Raw genomic sequence first — 17878 nt, forward strand, 5'->3', positions numbered from 1 at the left:
TCTGTGAAGGCTTCAGAAAATCCCTTCTGTTCTAAAATGTATGAAAAATCTGACTGCTTCTCACCACCTCTGCTTCTTACACCGTGGCCAAAACTGCCATCATCTCTGTTGCAACAGCCTCCTGACTGGTTCTGCCTCCTTCCCCTGGTCTAGTTTAACACAGCATCCGGAATGATCTTTGAAAACATAAATCAGCTCATTACACTTTCTTGCTCAAAGCCCTTGAATAGCTTCCCATCAGCCTAGGACCTGACATGCACCCACAAAGCTCTACATGCTTGGGTTCCTAACTGCTTCCCTCACCTCATTTCCTGCCCCTGCCCACTCCCCACCCCCCCTCACACTTTTCTTCCTATTCTGGCACTTTACTCTTCCTGGAATAAACCAAGCTCACTCCTGCCCCAAGGCCTTTGCACTGAATGTTCCCTCAACCTGGAACTCTCTCATCCCCCCAGGCATCTGCAGATATTGTATCCTTGTTTCTTGCTTTCTTCTGCTCTGATGTCACTGTATCTAGAGGCCTTCCCTTACCACCCTGTGGAAAGTAGGCATACTTACCCCAGCACTCCCTATCCTACTTTCTCGGCTTTATTTTTCCCCGTAGACTTATCATCATCTAAAATACCGTATATTTTACTTATTTATATGCTTATTGTCTGGCTCACCTTGCTAGGACATGAGCTTCTAGAGAGAAAATAGACGTTTCGCTCTCTTCCATATTCTCAGCACCCAAGTGCTTTGCAAATAGTATGTGCTCAATACATATGTATTCAGTACCTAAGGGTTTTCCAGCTTTTCCTTCCCAATTATTCCCTGCTCCCACAGCAGTATACTCACACTTCTATTGTAGGACATTCTTCTCTTTTGGTTTCCATTTTGGTTTATACTGTTAAATTATGAGATGCTGTCAAATAGGACCTATCTTCTTTTAATCCTTGTATGTCTGGCACTTTATACAGTGCCTGGTACATAGGAAGTATTTGAGAAATGTTAAATAAACAAAATGAAATGAAGTATTGAATGAATGAATGAATGAATGAACGAGGATCTCTGTGTCATTTTGTAGCAAAGCACATGTTACCTCAAGTCTTGTGATAGCTGTGGCAGAGTCTGAACAGTGACTCCAGAAGTGTATCCCTTCTGGAGCTCTAGTTTGCATCATGCAGGCAGAGTCTGGGTCAGACGAGTGTTTAGCCCGTTAGTCATCGGATGGCTGCCAAGTCGCAAGCATTTTACAACAAAAATTATATAGAAAATGAGTGATAGGGTGCAAATTGCTGAGTGCAAAATAGAAAGTGTTAGGAGCAAAATCTATTAACAGCTAGATTAGAAATACAGTCCTCTAAAATCAGAATATTCTAGTACTTCTAAGTGAAGGGTATTTCCCAAGTTACTTGAATATTTAAATTTTTTTTTTCTCTCTACCCAAGGTTGAGTTCCACTGGGCTTCATTTAAGTGAGCCTCTGGTAAACTGGTATCTTACTTGTTTAAAAACCATATCTGACTTCCCTGTGTGATGAAATCTTTCAGAAGCATCTCTTGATATGGGAGGAAAAGGTAGAATTTTTATATAATGGCTTAAAATAGACAGAAAATGAAGCCTGATCTCCAGAGAGCTTAGCTTTCCACATCTTTCAGCCATTGACAAAGGCCTGGCATGCTGGCATTTTATATCTAAAATACCTTTCCAAATACTTATTAAACTATATAATCATCATTTATGCCACAGGATCATTTGTGAATCTCAAGAAATACAGTATGTGACCAGACAACTGCTAATATAAATTTCATGACTGCATACTCATTGGAAAAAACTCTAATGGGATTAAATGAAAAAAAGCCTAACATATTTGAAAATCTGCCAACAGCTGTTCCAAATTATTGTGTGATATCTGATGTTCTACATGTACCTGTCCAAAATGGAAAGTGAACTTATTTGTTTGACAGAATGAATTAATATTAAATTACTTAATGTTCACTTCTTCTCCAAAGTTACTTGTTCTTTTTTTTTTTTTTTAAAGAAAAATTGAACAAATGCTTCATAGTACGTTTATGTGTCAGGCACTAATTTAATTACTCTATAAACAATAAAAGAGGGCATTTAGGTTGAGATTTTTTTCTCTTACATTTTCTTTGAGATAGTGACAAAATTAGCCAGTTATTATTATTTGTTTTCACTGTGGTAGACTGAAAATTCCTCAGTCTTGAACAACAGATTTAAATAGTACCAGAAGTTCTCTTGAAGATTTTTGACCATTTAGAGCCATCAGAAAGAATCTCTTGGCAAATATAAGAAATGTCATGAAAATTAAGAATTTTTTTAGTGCAGCATCTTCACTCTGATTTTTCTGATTAAAAATATTTTACATTTATATTGGGAAATTTGAAAATAATATAGATGTCTAAAGAAGAAAATCAAAATGATGCTCAAGTACATTACTCAGGGATAACCACCATAAACTTTTGGCTATCTTTTTATCCAATTTTTTTTTTTTTTTCTGTGAGCTTTTACATATGTACTGTTTTTCTTTTAATGAAACTGAGATCTCTTGTCTATCTTGTTACTAATTTCTTCTATGAGTATAGTTTCCTACTGACTTCCAAACAGTTAAGTTTGTTACTTTAATATTCCATCACGTGGTTGTACCATTTTCCCTTCTAAACCCTTCTTGGGCATTTTGGTGGTTTTCAGTTTTTAATTATTATCAATAGCAGTATGATGAATATTCTTATAATCTTGGTGTGTTTAATAACTTCCTTATGACAAATTCCTAAAAGTAGAATAACTGCATGAAAAGATATGGGCATATTTAGGTTCTGATAGATCTTGTCCAATTGGCCTTAAGCAACATTGTAATAATTTGCATTCCTAATTGCACGCTATCAGAATATTGAATTTTGCCATTATCAACAATATGTATTACTATTATAAAATGTTTTAATGCAAATTTGATAGACAGTAACTAATTTAAGTATAATACAAATTATATATTTTCCAACTTTGATACAGTTAATATTTATTTATTTATCTATCTTTGAAATGGGGTCTCACTCTGTGGCCCAGGCTTAGGCTCACTTCAGCTTCCACTTCCTGGGCTCAAGCCATCCTTCCACCTCAGCTGCCCAAGTAGCTGGGACCACAGGTGCATGCCACCACACCTGGCTAATTTTTTTGTATTGTTAGTAGAGAGGGGATTTCACCTTGTTGCCCAGGCTAGTCTCGAGCTCGTCAGCTCAAGCAATACACCCGCCTGAGTCTCCCAAAGTGCTGGGATTACAGGTGTGAGCCACCACGCCCAGGCAGTTAATTTTTTTATGTGCTAAGAGGCTTCTCTATTAATTTGCTTGTGAATGGGTGTGTGTGTGTGTATTTAAATTTTTAATGGTTCTGCATTAATGTTTCTGCATTCCTGCCATATAGGTTGTACTTTTTTTTTCCAGTTTGTTTGCCTTTTAATTTTATGATTTATTTTATACAAAAATTTAAATTTTCAGATATTCACATCTATCAATCTTCTTTTTCAAAAAGTTTATTGATTAACTGTATATGTGTATAATTTACATACCATAAAATGCACGTTTTGAAATTGTACAATTCAGTGATTTTTGGTAAATTTCCAGAGGCATACAACCATCATCACAGTAGTTTTAGAACATTTTTAGCACCCCAAAAAGATCTCTCATGCCTCTTTACATTTAGTTTTCTTTCCTGCCCCAGCCAAGATCTCCACTCATCTGCTTCAGTCTTTTAAAGCTTTTATTCTTAGAAAGGAGTCTTGAGCACTTATGTGGAACCAAGTGATGTGGCTATAACAGATACTAATGCTATTTTCTTCTTCTTCTTTTTTTTTTTTTTTGAGATGGAGTCTTGCTCTGTCACCCAGGCTGGAGTGCAGTGGTGTGATCTCGGCTCACTGTAACCTCTACCTCCCGGGTTCAGGTGATTCTCCTGCTTCAGCCTCCTGAGTAGCTGGGATTACAGATGCCCGCCACCACGCCCAGCTAGTTTTTGTATTTTTAGTAGAAACAGGGTTTTACCTTGTTGGCCAGGTTGGTCTCGAGCTCCTGACATCAGATGATCCAGCTGCCTCGGCCTCCCAAAGTGCTGGGATTACAGGTGTAAGCCACCGCTCCAGGCCACTAGTACTATCTTCTTTTAGGAGCTTGTGATCTTACAGGACAGATTATTAAACTAATAATAGTTTAAATAAATATAGTTACAAATAGATAAGTGCTACAAAAGAGAAGTAAAGCGTGGGGAGTGATAACAGAGGGCACCTATTTGAGGGTGGAGATTCAGGAAAGGTTTCCTTTTTTTTTTTATTATACTTTAAGTTTTAGGGTACATGTGCACATTGTGCAGGTTAGTTACATATGTATACATGTGCCATGCTGGTGCGCTGCACCCACTAACTCATCATCTAGCTTTAGGTATATCTCCTGATGCTATCCCTCCCCCTCCCCCCACCCCACAACAGTCCCCAGAGTGTAATATTCCCCTTCCTGTGTCCATGTGATCTCATTGTTCAATTCCCACCTATGAGTGAGAATATGCGGTGTTTGGTTTTTTGTTCTTGCGATAGTTTACTGAGAATGATGATTTCCAGTTTCATCCATGTCCAGGAAAGGTTTCTATAAGAAAATGACCCAGGGATGGGAAGGACCATCCAGGTGTGGAGTTGGGGGAGGAGCCTGGGGGAAGTATTTAAGAGCTGGACACTTGAGGACTGCAGGAATAGAAGCACATATGGTCAGAGAGAAAGGGGACATGATCTGAGTGGGAAAAAAATGGAATATTTTCCCATGCCATTATTTTCTTTTTATGCTGTTTTTTATGTCAAGGTATTTACAGATGATATTTATGTGGTTATATGTTTTTCCTGGTCTATAGGGTTATAATTTCCCCATATTAAATATATCTTATGCAGTGTTGAGACCCAGTGTATGTTGAATAAGGGCAGCAGAATTTTAATGGGGGGTGGGCAGGCGTTTGTGCATATGAGTGCATTATTTTCAGTATTCCTTTCTTAGTCCCAGAGGGGAGTGTGTTCAGAAACAGAGTTCTTGGGAATTACCATACTTTTCTTTATTGTTTTATACTAAGGACCATTCAGAGAGTACTGGAGGTGTTAAGACAGTGTGAAGAAATTACCTTCTTCATCACTTCTTCATCATTGCTTTGAGTATACTGGGGCCTCAGGGACTTGCTAAGAAAGTAACCAGTATAGTGATAGAATTAGAGTTGCTGCTCATGGCTTCAGAATATTTGGTCTCTGCTTACAGGATTGCATTGCTTTCTTCATAAGCTATGTAAATAGAAAGTACGATATCACTGTTTCTGTTTTCCAATGGGGATAACTAAAATATGGAAACTCAATCCTTAATGGATCCCTGACAATCTCAATGACAATCCATAGTGGTATGCCACATGACTCTTCTCTTTGTCACTTTCAATTCATGGTCAACACCTCAGATAGGCATTTTGAGAAGCAGGGCAGTCCTACCACACTTACCTAGTAAAGTCATTTTTTCACATTCAGACTTGACTCATTCATTTTTCTTCTGCATACTTCCTCCCACTTTCTGCATGTCTTCTATAATATCTCCTGCACTCTGCCTCATTCAGAACAGGCTAGATTATGCTATAGTAACTGATAACTCTCAAATCTCAGTGGCTCCACACAATAATATTTCTTGTCCATTTTATGTATCATTTGTGGGTTGGCACAGAGTCACTACCCATTAAAGTAGCTCAGAGATCCAAGCAGCCACCAGCTGGTTGCTGTGGCAGAGGGGTGCAGAGTATGCTGGAGGGTCTTGCAGTGACAATGACATGTTCCAGGCTGGAAGGGATGGCCATCATTTTTCACTGGACAGAAGTAATCCCATGTTTCATCCATCCTGAGGGGACCAGGAAGTGTAATTTTACACTGGGCCCAAAAAGCTGGGTGGCAGAGGAGGAATCCAGAACTATTTGGCAAACAGCTCTAATGACCAGCATACATTCTTAGCTAGTGATTCACCTTAACTTCATTGAGAAAGTCAGAGCATTCTCTAACTACCACCCCTCCAAAAGAAACCCTAGAACGTACTCATCTGCCTACTATTATTACATTTATCATCCTATCTGAATTCATACCTTCTTTTTCCTTCTAGCCTATTCCAATATAAGAAGTATCTTCTCTCCTATCCACATATTTTTGATCACATACTCTTATCAGTAGATAAGCACATACAGTGACATCCTAGAAAGTGTTTAACAAGTGGCCTGTAGGGGGAAAGAACCAGCCTTGATTTTTAGTGTTTTTTGATTTCCGCAGTGTAAATACTCTCACTGTGGACAGTTTCAAGCCACCGTCACGGTGTTACTGAATGTGCAGTTGGAAAGAGATGCACACAGTGGGCTCTCATGAGCCAGTGTGGACTGACTCCAGCACACCACCAGTAGTGTGCTGGTGGTAGTACTCATGTACTCGTGTCTGTTTTATAATAATATTCATATTAAACCTATTTGTGTGTATATGTGTGTGTGTATATATATATATGCATACATATTTTAATAATGCTTGAGTTCTTTCATTTTATATTAAAAATAAAGCAGTTCTACCTCTCCCCTGTGCCCCACCACTCTTCCAGATGGCCTTACAAAGCCTTGCATACCTGACTTGGGGGCTACTGCTCTAGACACTCAAGGTCTCGACTTCTTTGGTTATTCACTCTCTCTGCATCGTCAGCCTCTTTCTCTTGTATCATTCTCATGAGTGTACTGAGAAACTCTGGTGTTCTCTAGCGTCTTCCATCATTAGAGATTGTCCCTTAGTCTAGCCTTCTTCTTTATCAAAAGCTCCATTTTTCTACTCCCCTTCATAGCAGAACCATTCAGAGACATCTCTACATGCCATCTCACTTCCTCCTCTTTCATTCCATCTTCGCCTACTCCAATCTGACTTTCACCCCCAGCACTCTACTGAGATTGCTCGTGTCATTGCCATCAGTGATTTTCATGCTGCCAAATCTACTGGATCATCTGTCTTCATCTCACTTGGCCTCTCAGTGTCAGGTGACATAGTTGAGTACCCCGCCCTTCTAGAAATGCTCTCCTCTTTTAGCTTCTGCAATAATACACTCTGCTGGTTCTCCTTTGTTGAGGCTTCTGCTGCGACTCAGGAAATAGCTTTGGTCTCCTTTTGATATTTGTACTGTTTCCCTAGGTGATCTCATTCATTTCTAGGCCTTTAAAACCAAGCTGTGTGCTGATCACTCCCACATTGCGTTCCTCTGCCCTGCTTTCTCTTCTGAGCTCCAGATGTGTACATCCAATTCCCCTCCCCCCGCCCACCATATTTTCACCTGGAGGTTTCATAGGTATCTTCAAGGCTGCAGCTCTACAGTGAACTCTTCATTTCCCCCTTTTCTTCTTTCTACTATTTCTCTTTTGCCTCAGTTTTCCTTATTTCACAGAATAGTAAATTGTTTATTTAGTTGTTAAATCCAGAAATCTGGAATGTATTCTTAACTTCTATCCTGAGCAACAGGGAGAAACCCCGTCTCTACTAAAAATACAAAATTAGCCAGGTGTGGTGGCGCATGCCTGTAATCTCAGCTACTCGGGCGGCTGAGGCAGGAGAATCACTTGAACCCAGGAGTGGAGGTTGCAGTGAGCCAAGATCATGCCATTGCACTCTAGCCTGGGCAACAAGAGCGAAACGCCATCTCAAAAAAACCCAAAAAACCCCAAAAGACTTATATCTTTTTTTATCCCTTACATCTAATTCATAAGCACATCCTTTAGTTCTACCTACAACGTATGTATTTCATCTGTCCACTTATCTTTGTCTCTATTTTAGTCCAGACCATCACTTTTCTTCCAGATGATTGTAATAGCACATTCCACGCTCACATGTGCCTCTTTCCAATCTGTGCCTGATATTATAACTAAGAGCGATTGTATAAGATGTAAATCAAGTTATTTTTCTCCCTTCTACATCCTCCAGTGCATCTAGAGTTAGCTTCAGATTCCTTACCACGACCTCTAGGGCTATGTGTGATCTGGCCTCCGCCTTCCTCTGCCTCCTCGTAGCATGCCACTCTGTCTTTGGCTCTTGTGCTCTAGTAAAACAAGCCTTTTTTTGTCCCTAGAATAGGTTGGTCTTTTTCCTGAGTGCCTTTGGCTTCTCTGGTCTGTCTTTCTGGGAAGCACTTTCTCTGGCTTGTCATATTTCTGGTGCCTTCTTTTCCTGAAGATCTCAGCTTAAATCCCGTCTCCTTAGAGAATTCTTCCTGTTCTAATAAGATTTCCTGCTGGTTTGTTTCTGTCTTAGTACTTAACACAATTTGGGGTTGCTTTTCTTTATTTATTTACTTGATTTGGTAGAAAGCTTTGTGAGAACAGGGACCTTGTTTCCATCTGGTGGTAGGTGCTCAATAAACAGATGCTGCATGAAAAAAAAAACGTTTGGAAGAATACTGGTCTTGCCCTGCCTATCATGTGAATGGTAATTACTAAATGAAGACAGAGAAGGAAGGTATCTTAACAATGGTGGGCAACACAATACAGGGAGGACAGGTTAATGTGTTGATCATGTCTGACTCTTTCTTTAAGACAGCCTAAAACTAGGGAGGAACAAATCAGATCAAACGTTACAGAGGTAAATGTAAAATCCTGTGATTTGGTTACAAATAAATCAGTTGCATTTTACAGAATCAGGAAACTCCAGTCTGACACCGATTCACATGCCAAGTCCTAAGGAAAGTGGTAGCCGAAAAGCTAATGCAGCCCTAACCTACATTAATCATTCCATGTATTTCTGTATTAGGGAAGGGAATTGACCAATATTACTCTCCTCCAGTGACACCAGTAGAATTATTAGAATTTTGTAGAATTACAATGTAATAATACCTCATTCATCCATGCACAAATCCATTTATTCATTCCTTTACCATTTACTGAGTAAATTCTGGGCACTCATATTATAGTCATGAGCAAAATTGCCATGGCTTTTGTGTTCATGGAACTTAATGTCTAACTCCTGAAGAGAAGTGAGTTCTCTTTTTGTGAAAGTGTTAAGCAGAAACCAGTTTGTCATTTATTGAGACAATGCATTCTCATGGTTAAGAACTCGTGCCCTGGAAGCCAGGGGTTGGTGTCCAGGGGCTTTAAATTCCAGCTCCAGTATTTGCCAGCTGTGTGACTTTGGGCAAATTAATGTCTTTGGTCAGATTAATGTCTCTGTGTTTCAGTGGTCTCATCTATAAACTGGAGATAATAATACTATGCCTAGAGTTAAAATGAGCTAATGCACACAAGTAACTTACAACAGTACCTGGTACGTAGTAAGCACTTAATAAATATTTTAGATAATAAGCAGTTAATAAAATGGTGTTGAGATTTAGGGTGAGAAAAAGTGGTCACAGAATAATCCTGGTGTATCAGGACACACATTATTATTTTTTGTTTTTTATTAAAGATTGTTAGTAATTTGAGCTTGAACTTGAAAATCTTGACTTTAGAGTTTGATGACATTTGTTTTATTTGGTTTTCTGTTTTGGGCTAGGAAGATGTGACTCCTATTTAGAAATAGCCACCAGGTAGTCCCCCCACAACTCCCCAAATGCTTACAAAGAAACACACCTTTGGAAATAATACAATTGTAGCTATATATCAACGTCTGTTTTTGCTTTGGTTTTGTTTTAGTGGCAGCTGAAATATCCTAAACTAATTCTCCGAGAAGCCAGCAGTGTATCTGAGGAGCTCCATAAAGAGGTTCAAGAAGCCTTTCTCACACTGCACAAGCATGGCTGCTTATTTCGGGACCTGGTTAGGATCCAAGGCAAAGATCTGCTCACTCCGGTATCTCGCATCCTCATTGGTAATCCAGGCTGCACCTACAAGTACCTGAACACCAGGCTCTTTACGGTCCCCTGGCCAGTGAAAGGGTCTAATATAAAACACACCGAGGCTGAAATAGCCGCTGCTTGTGAGACCTTCCTCAAGCTCAATGACTACCTGCAGATAGAAACCATCCAGGCTTTGGAAGAACTTGCTGCCAAAGAGAAGGCTAATGAGGATGCTGTGCCATTGTGTATGTCTGCAGATTTCCCCAGGGTTGGGATGGGTTCATCCTACAACGGACAAGATGAAGTGGACATTAAGAGCAGAGCAGCATACAACGTAACTTTGCTGAATTTCATGGATCCTCAGAAAATGCCATACCTGAAAGAGGAACCTTATTTTGGCATGGGGAAAATGGCAGTGAGCTGGCATCATGATGAAAATCTGGTGGACAGGTCAGCGGTGGCAGTGTACAGTTATAGCTGTGAAGGTACAGTCTGCTCTTGGAAAAAGCAGCCCTGTATGTAATAATATGACCCGAGTTGTTTAGGCTCTGGAGATACACACGCATATACATGAACATGTTTGCATGTGTGCTTGCGTGTGTACATGCACATGCGTGTGTGTGTATCATGTGTCCTTTTTAGTCTTGTCACACCTGTATGTCTGCAGAATATGCCTCTTTCTCATCTGGCCATGCTAGCTGGCTCATTGTTATACTGTACTCAGAATATTTTCGCACGTAAGCACTGCTGTCATTTGTCTCTCTTGTGCCCAGGAGAGCAGCCTCTTGGTTTCATACAGCCGACTGTCTTCTCTACAGCTCAGAGGAGATTGTACAGTTGCTATAATTAACTTGCTGATAAAGAGCTGGGAAAACAAAAATCTGTCAAATCTTTCCAGGTTCCCACAGGTGCACATTTCCAGACCTGCCAAAATATTTTATTATGGTTGACATCACTATCTTGATGGGTGTGATTTGTCAAATATGGACTTGTTCTTGGCTTCCTATAGTTTGTAACTACTGTCCTTCCTTGCCAGAAGCAGTTGAGGTAGGTTTTGTAAGCAGACAGTCCTCTATTTTCAGGAAACTCCCTAGCTCTTTACCCAATTCTGCAGTTTTAGACCTTGTTGGGTGGCTGTGGTAGACTTGTTCTTGCATTTTCTGATGTATAATCCCCTTGAAACAGATCGTAGGCTACCTCTTAGTAGCCCACCCACATTTCTCTTCTTCTATTATTGTTTCTGTGTGTTTATGGCCCTCATTTTTCCTTAGAATAGAATTACAAAAATGGTAGTTGAACAGATGGAGGAGAGCATGACCTCTGTTGACTTTCTTTTGTGTCTGATTATTTGGCAAAGGGATACAAGACATAGTATTAGCTCTCCTGTCTGATTTACTGAAAGATGTTTGGAAAACCAGAATTCTGGATATCCCATCAGGGAATGACTGGAACTTTCCAGGGTCATTATTTTCTGACAACTCTAGTTATTTGATTGGATTTTTGTTTGTTGTTGTTATTTGTTTACTAAAATTACTGTTTTGGAAAAGAGATTTAAGAAAAAAAAGATCTTTAAAGTACTCTTTAAATTTCTTACAATTTCCCAGTCTCAAAAATTTCCTCAGAACTACTAATATTTTTTCTAACTTTATCTTATGTCTTCAGTCTGAAACAAGGAACTAGTTTAGCATTTGGAAATTTCACCACTTTCTCTGGCATCTCAAATAATGATGCTGACCTAAGAAAATCGCTTGAAGGGATTTAACGCTGTCCTAATGGAAAGAACGGAGATCCTCTGATCTTTAATAAGGACTTGCCAGGGATTTAAGAACTATCACATCCAAGAACTCTGATGTGAACGAACAATGGAGTTAGTTTCTTTCTTAAGGAGACAACTCTCCAAACCTGAAGCAGTGGTATGTGATAGTACAAAGCTCTACAAAGATGTCTTTGTGCTCCCAATTACTCTGAGCCCTCCAGTTTAATAGTCCTATTGTACTCCCTTCCCGTGGGTGATCAAGTAGTTTTTGAAACCTAGAATATCTTTCAGAAAGGAATTTAAATGTCTAATGAATAGTTTCTATGCTCAGGAGTAATTAAGACTGACAAAGTATACAAATATAAATTACATATAAATATAGAAATGTTGGTACTTAAAGAGGGAACTGTAGAATTTGAATCTGTAAGAGCGGTGTGCAAACTCCTTTGTTCTCTTTTTTTTCTTTTTTTCTTTTGAGACGGGGTCTCGCTCTGTCGCCCAGGCTGGAGTGCAGTGGTGCGATCTCCACTCACTGCAAGCTCCGCCTCCCAGGTTCACGCCATTCTTCTGCCTCAGCCTCCCAAGTAGCTGGGGCTACAGGCGCCCGCCACCACGCCCGGCTAATTTTTTGTATTTTTAGTAGAGACGGGGTTTCACCGTGGTCTCAATCTTCTGATCTCATGATCCGCCCACCTCGGCCTCCCAAAGTGCTGGGATTACAGGCTTGAGCCACCATGCCCGGCCTCCTTTGTTCTCTTAACTGCAGAAATTCTCAGAACTCCATCTAATAATAATAGCAATACTGGGAATGCTCATTTATTGAGCACCTACTACGTGCTACATGCTGTTATAAGCATTTTACATGCATTAACTCATTTTGTCTTCCCAACAATTCAAAGAACAAAATAGTAATGAAGTACTATTGCTATCCTCATTTTACAGATGAGGAAACTGAGTCACAGAAGGTTGATTAACTTGTTCATGGTGATGCAGCAAGTAATTAGCAGAGTTAGGATTTGAGGACAAATATCCAGGCTTCAGAATCTTAACACCTAAGGCTATGTGCATTATGAGCAGGTATTTCTTATCCCAGCAGTGTAGCCGTCTCAGGGATTTTATTTTATTATTTTACTTTTTTAATTTTTTGAGACAGAGTGTTGCTCTATCTCCCAGGCCGGAGTGCAGTGGCACGATCTCGGCTCACTGCAACCTCCGCCTCCTGGGTTCAAGTGATTCTCCTGCCTCAGCTTCCCGAGTAGCTGGGATTACAGGCATGCACCACTACTCCCAGCTAATTTTTTATAATTTTAGTAGAGACGGGGTTTCACCATGCTAGCCAGGCTGGTCTCAAACTCCTGACCTCGTGATCTGCATGCCTTGGTCTCCCAAAGTGCTGAGATTACAGGTGTGAGCCACTGCGCCTGGCCAGGGACTTGGATTTTTAAAATGTCCACCTTCTGGAAAGGTTAAGGGGACATTCCACTTGCTTTTTCTTTCAGGTCCTGGTGTCTTCCTTTCTCCAGCTTTACTTCTCACCCACATCTGCTGTAGCTTTCCAGCACATACTCTCAGATGATTGGAATGCATCAGATTATCTTATTCGATGAAACAGAACCTTTCTGTAGGTGTCTGGCTGTGTGTCAGACGGCATACAAAGCATGTGGCTCTGGGTCAGATGGTGTACAAAGCATGTGCCTTGAAACTCTATGGTGGGCGCATGTCTTCTAAGTGACAAGTGATATCTGTTTAGTTTTCTGGTCTTATAATCCTTGGCAGAATGCCAGAACTATGGCAAAGGTGGACTTGAAGAGAATCATTTGGTTTAAAATTTTGGTTGAGGTTGAGAAGGGCTTAAGGAGGTCATAGAGAGTGGACACTTCAGAGAATTGTATTTTTTTCTGTGTCCTTGAACTTGTTTGTCAATGAGCTGTTCTAGACAGTATGGGAACTCCAAAGATAAATCAATGGCTTTCTCACTTTGAGGTAATAGGGAGGTAATAGGTGGGCTCTCGTGATTATAATTATGAAATGATGAAACATTGGGTTTGAAAGAGACTTTTGAAATCACTTGATTCTAGCCTTTCATTTTACAAATGAAAACACCGAGAAGGGAAGTGGCTTGGCCAAGGTCACATTGCTACTTAGTGATAAGAGCAGGGATTTAAGTTGGAAAGTGTTCCTTGCCACTGGAGAGGTTCACGTAAAATGCACTGGGAATTCAGATACAGAAGTGATTGCTTCCTGCTGAAATTAAATTCAGTTGAAGCTTAAGATCTTTCAAGACTCTGCTCTCAATACCTTTTCCCAGGGAAATCTTCTTGTAGATTTATAATGAGCCAGTCATCCCTCTTTGGTTTATTTTCATGAGTAGAGGTCATTGAGAAGTAATTTGTATAGGATACGTGTAATTATATACTAAATTCATTGGCTTTCACATGCCGTTCTAGTTAATAGATATCTCCAGTAGGAAGATTGAAATGGTACAATTTTTAATCAGGAATGGCTTCGGGGAACCATATGTAAATAGGCAGAATATTTGATTTTCCTATTCCAGCTTTGCTGGCAATTGCTTGTTACTCCTAGCTATAAAAAACGAACTTTAGCGGGGAAGGCATTAAAAACCCAATGTTTAATATGGTCCAGCACCTTGTTCTTTGACTGGAACACCTTCAGAAACATCACTTAGATCAACAGTAACTATTGGCTACCATTTTTGTTTCTTTGTCTGGAAGGAAACATTTTCTGTGAAATTGTCTTTCTAGAAAGAAAAGCAATTCTTAAGATTTTAAACTAGTGCCAAGTATTGCATATTCTTGACATTATTTTCCAGACCTCCCACAAGGAGCCAGGAAGGCAGCTGGGCGCGGAGGCTCACAACTGTAATCCCAGCACTTTGGGAGACCAAGGCAGGTGGATCACAAGGTCAGGAGTTCAAGACCAGCCTGGCCAACATGGTGAAACCTTGTCTCTTAGAAATAGAAAAATAAGCTGGGCATGGTGGTGCGCACCTGTAGTCCCAGCTACTCGGGAGGCTGAGGCAGTAGAATTGCTTGAACCTGGGAGGCAGAGGTTGCAGTGAGCTGAGATTGCGCCACTGTACTCCAGCCCGGGCGACAGAGTGAGATTCCGTCTCAAAACAAACAAAGAAACAAACAAAAATCCAAAACCCAGGAAGGCTCACAAAAGGAAGAAACCGATCCATGTTTCCTGTTGAGCATGTGATAGGCTGGAAAGTAGAGACTTTGCAATAATGTTCTTGGAATTCTAGGATTTCCATTCATGTCTTTGATTTGGGAAAAATTGCATCCCCTTAAGGATGGAAATTTGTTCCCGTAATTCTTGAATCTCTATTTTAACATGACTTGCTCTATATTTCTCAGCTCATCACTGAGACCATGAAAAGCTAGTTTATAATTACAGCTTGGAGTTTTGGAGTATTCATAAAAACGCTGTGATGTTTAATGTTATCTTAGCGTCCCAGCATCCCTGTCTAAAATCTCAAAGCTTATTTGACCTAGCTTTTTTTTATTGTATCATGCTATGCCTTGTCAGTGATTTTTGAAATCACTTATACTGCTCAGTAAAACTTGTTTGGTCTTATAAGTCACATTTTTGGGGGTGACCATCCAGTTATTTATTCATCTAACAATAAGGTCTCCCATGAAGAGCCAAGAAGGCTCACAAGAAGACCAAAGGGGGGGAAAAAACTTATTTGATCTACAAAGTTACATTTTTTTCATGCCTATGCAATTATTTTTTCATTTAACAATAAGCATCTACTATTTGCTAGTCAGTTGTCTAGATGCTGAGCATGTATCAGTGAACAAAACAGACAAAAATCCCTGCCCTCATCAAGCTCACATTCTAGCAAGGGAAAACAGAAAATAAAAGTAGATTGTGTAACAAGGGTGAGGGATAATCTTACAATTTTAGGTAGGAGAGCCAGGCAAGGCCTTGTTAAAGGGGTAACATTTAAGCAGATTGGACGGAGAGAATGAGCCACTGAGAAATTTGAAGCGGGAGCACATAGGCGGGAAGATAGAACATGATTGGGATGTTTCAGAAGCAACAAGTGTGGATGGAATAGAGTGAGAGAAGAGGAAATGAAATGAAGACAAAGGGACAAGTAAATGGGTGGCAGAAGGTAGGGCTTTGTCATGTTAGAATACAAAGTAGTAGGTTTGGATTTGGAGTGAGATGGGGAGCCACTGAGGAGTAGAAGAAGGGAAGCAACACCAGAAACAGGAGAGCTCACAGAGGTGACCAAAGTAATCCAGACTAGGGATATGATGGTCCAGATCAGAAGAGGCAGAGCAGGGGAGAAATGTGTAAATACAGTCCTGTAACTTTTTACCAACAAAGAGAGTGGCAGTGTTTCAGCACCAGTGAGAAAGGATAACCAGCAGTGGCATCTCCCATTTGTCAAGAGAAGGCTAAGCCTGTAAGAATGGCTACATTTTCTCCCCTCTGTGAATGGCTTTATTCGGGAATAACTGACATACAATAAGCTATACATATTGAACATTTATAGTTTTATAAGTTTCAACACACCTGTGAAACTATCCCCACTATCAAGATAATGAACATACCCATTATTCCAGAAGTTTCCTTGTGCCCCTTTGCAATTCCTCTTCCTGACATATCTGTTTTCTTTTTTTATTGTTTTTTATTTGTTTGTAGAGACTGGGTCTCAATATGTTTCCCAGGCTGATCTTGAAATCCTGGCCTGAAGAGATCCTCCTTGCTCAGCCTCCCAAAGAGCTGGAATTACAGGTGTGAGCCACTGTGTCAGCCTGGATTTGTTTTCTGTCACTAGATGAGTTGGCATTTTCTAGAATTTTAACCAGATGGAATTATATATGTGCACGGTTTTTTTGTCTGGATTCTTTAACTTAGCATAGTTATTTTGAGATTCATCCATGTTGTTATGTATATCAGTAGCTCATTCCCTTGTATCCTTTTTTATTTCAATAAAATATACATAAAATTAATCATTATAACCATATTAACTGTACAGTTGAGTGGCATTAAGCATCATCCCACACCAAATCTCTGTACCCATTTAAACAATTACTCCCCATTTCTCCTTCCCTCATTTCCTGGTAACCACTGTTCTGCTTTCTGTCTGTATTATATTTGACTATTCTAGGTACCTCATGTAAGTGGAATCATACAATATTTGACCTTTTGTGTCTAGATTATTGATATGGTTCAGCTGTGTCCCTGGGCAAATATCAACTTGAATTGTATCTCCCAGAATTCGCACATGTTGTGGGAGGGACCAAAGAGGAACTGGTTGAATCATGAGGCCGGTCTTTCCCGTGCTATTCTCATGATAGTGAATAAGTCTCACGAGATCTGGTGGGTTCATCAGGGGTTTCCGCTTTTGCTTCCTCCTCATTTTCTCTTGCCACTGCCATGTAAGAAGTGCCTTTTGCCTCCTGCCATGATTCAGAGGCCTCTCAGCTATGTGGTACTGTAAGTCCAATTAATCCTCTTTTTGTTTCCGGTTTCGGATATGTCTTTATGAGCAGCATGAAAACAAACTAATACAACTATTTTACTTAACATAGTGTCCTCAAGATTCATCCATGTTATGGCATGTATCAGAATTTAATTCCTTTTTAAAGATGACTAATATTCCATTGTATGAATATACCACATTTTGTTGATTGATTCATCCATCGGCTATTCATAATAGCCATCTTTTGGCTATGGTGGATAAAGTTGCTGTGAACAAATATCTCTGTATACAAATATCTGTGGGAATCTCCGCTTTCAGTACTTTTGTGTGTATACTTTTTTTGTGTATATACTTTTGTGTATGTACTTTTGCGTAGGATTGCTGGATCAAATGATAGGTCTATGTTGACATTTTTGAGGAACTGCTGTACTGTTTTCTACAGCGACTGAACTGTTTTATATTCTCGCTGGCAATGCGCAAGGGCTCTAATTTCTCCACATCTACGCCAACACTTACTGTTTCCTGTTTTTTGATAACAGCCATCATAATGGGTATGAAGTGGTATCTCCTTGTGGTTTTGATACACATTTTCCTAATAATTAATGATGTTGAACATCTTTTCATGTTCTTAGCCATTTATATATCTTCTTTGGAGACATGTCTATTCAAGTTGTTTGCCCATTTTTGAATTTGGCTGGTTTTTAGTTGTTGAGTTTTGTGAGTTCCTTATGTATTCTAGATATTAATTCCTTATCAGATATATGACTTGCAATATTTTCTTCAAGGATAGCTGAACTTTTTTTTTTTATTTTTTTTGAGA

At 39.7% G+C, this 17878-nt stretch overlaps 1 protein-coding gene across 25 annotated transcripts in view, besides 1 other annotated feature; it reads left to right on the forward strand.

Annotated features, from left to right (window-relative positions):
- FTO (FTO alpha-ketoglutarate dependent dioxygenase) overlaps positions 1–17878 on the forward strand; it is a 417979-nt gene that overhangs the window by 112206 nt on the left and 287895 nt on the right. For 14 of the 25 annotated variants that reach the window (XM_017023656.3, XM_024450437.2, NM_001080432.3 and 11 more), the window contains one exon: positions 9696–10323. The exons of 1 other annotated variant lie outside the window; for it this stretch is intronic. In XM_017023656.3, the coding sequence (XP_016879145.1) occupies positions 9696–10323 (628 nt within the window). Of the gene's footprint in view, positions 1–9695; positions 10354–17878 lie in introns of all 25 variants that reach the window. 10 more of the 25 variants (XR_007064911.1, XM_047434606.1, XM_011523314.4 and 7 more) reach the window with 1 other exon arrangement.
- Positions 11450–12127: an enhancer, noted in NCBI's record as "OCT4-NANOG hESC enhancer chr16:53861530-53862207 (GRCh37/hg19 assembly coordinates)". NCBI's record gives its function as "activates a minimal SCP1, AML or CMV promoter by ChIP-STARR-seq in naive H9 embryonic stem cells {active_cell/tissue: H9 hESC(naive)}" and the evidence as "EXISTENCE:reporter gene assay evidence [ECO:0000049][PMID:30033119]".

Source organism: Homo sapiens, chromosome 16, assembly GCF_000001405.40.
Source record: "Homo sapiens chromosome 16, GRCh38.p14 Primary Assembly".
NCBI lineage: Eukaryota > Metazoa > Chordata > Mammalia > Primates > Hominidae > Homo > Homo sapiens.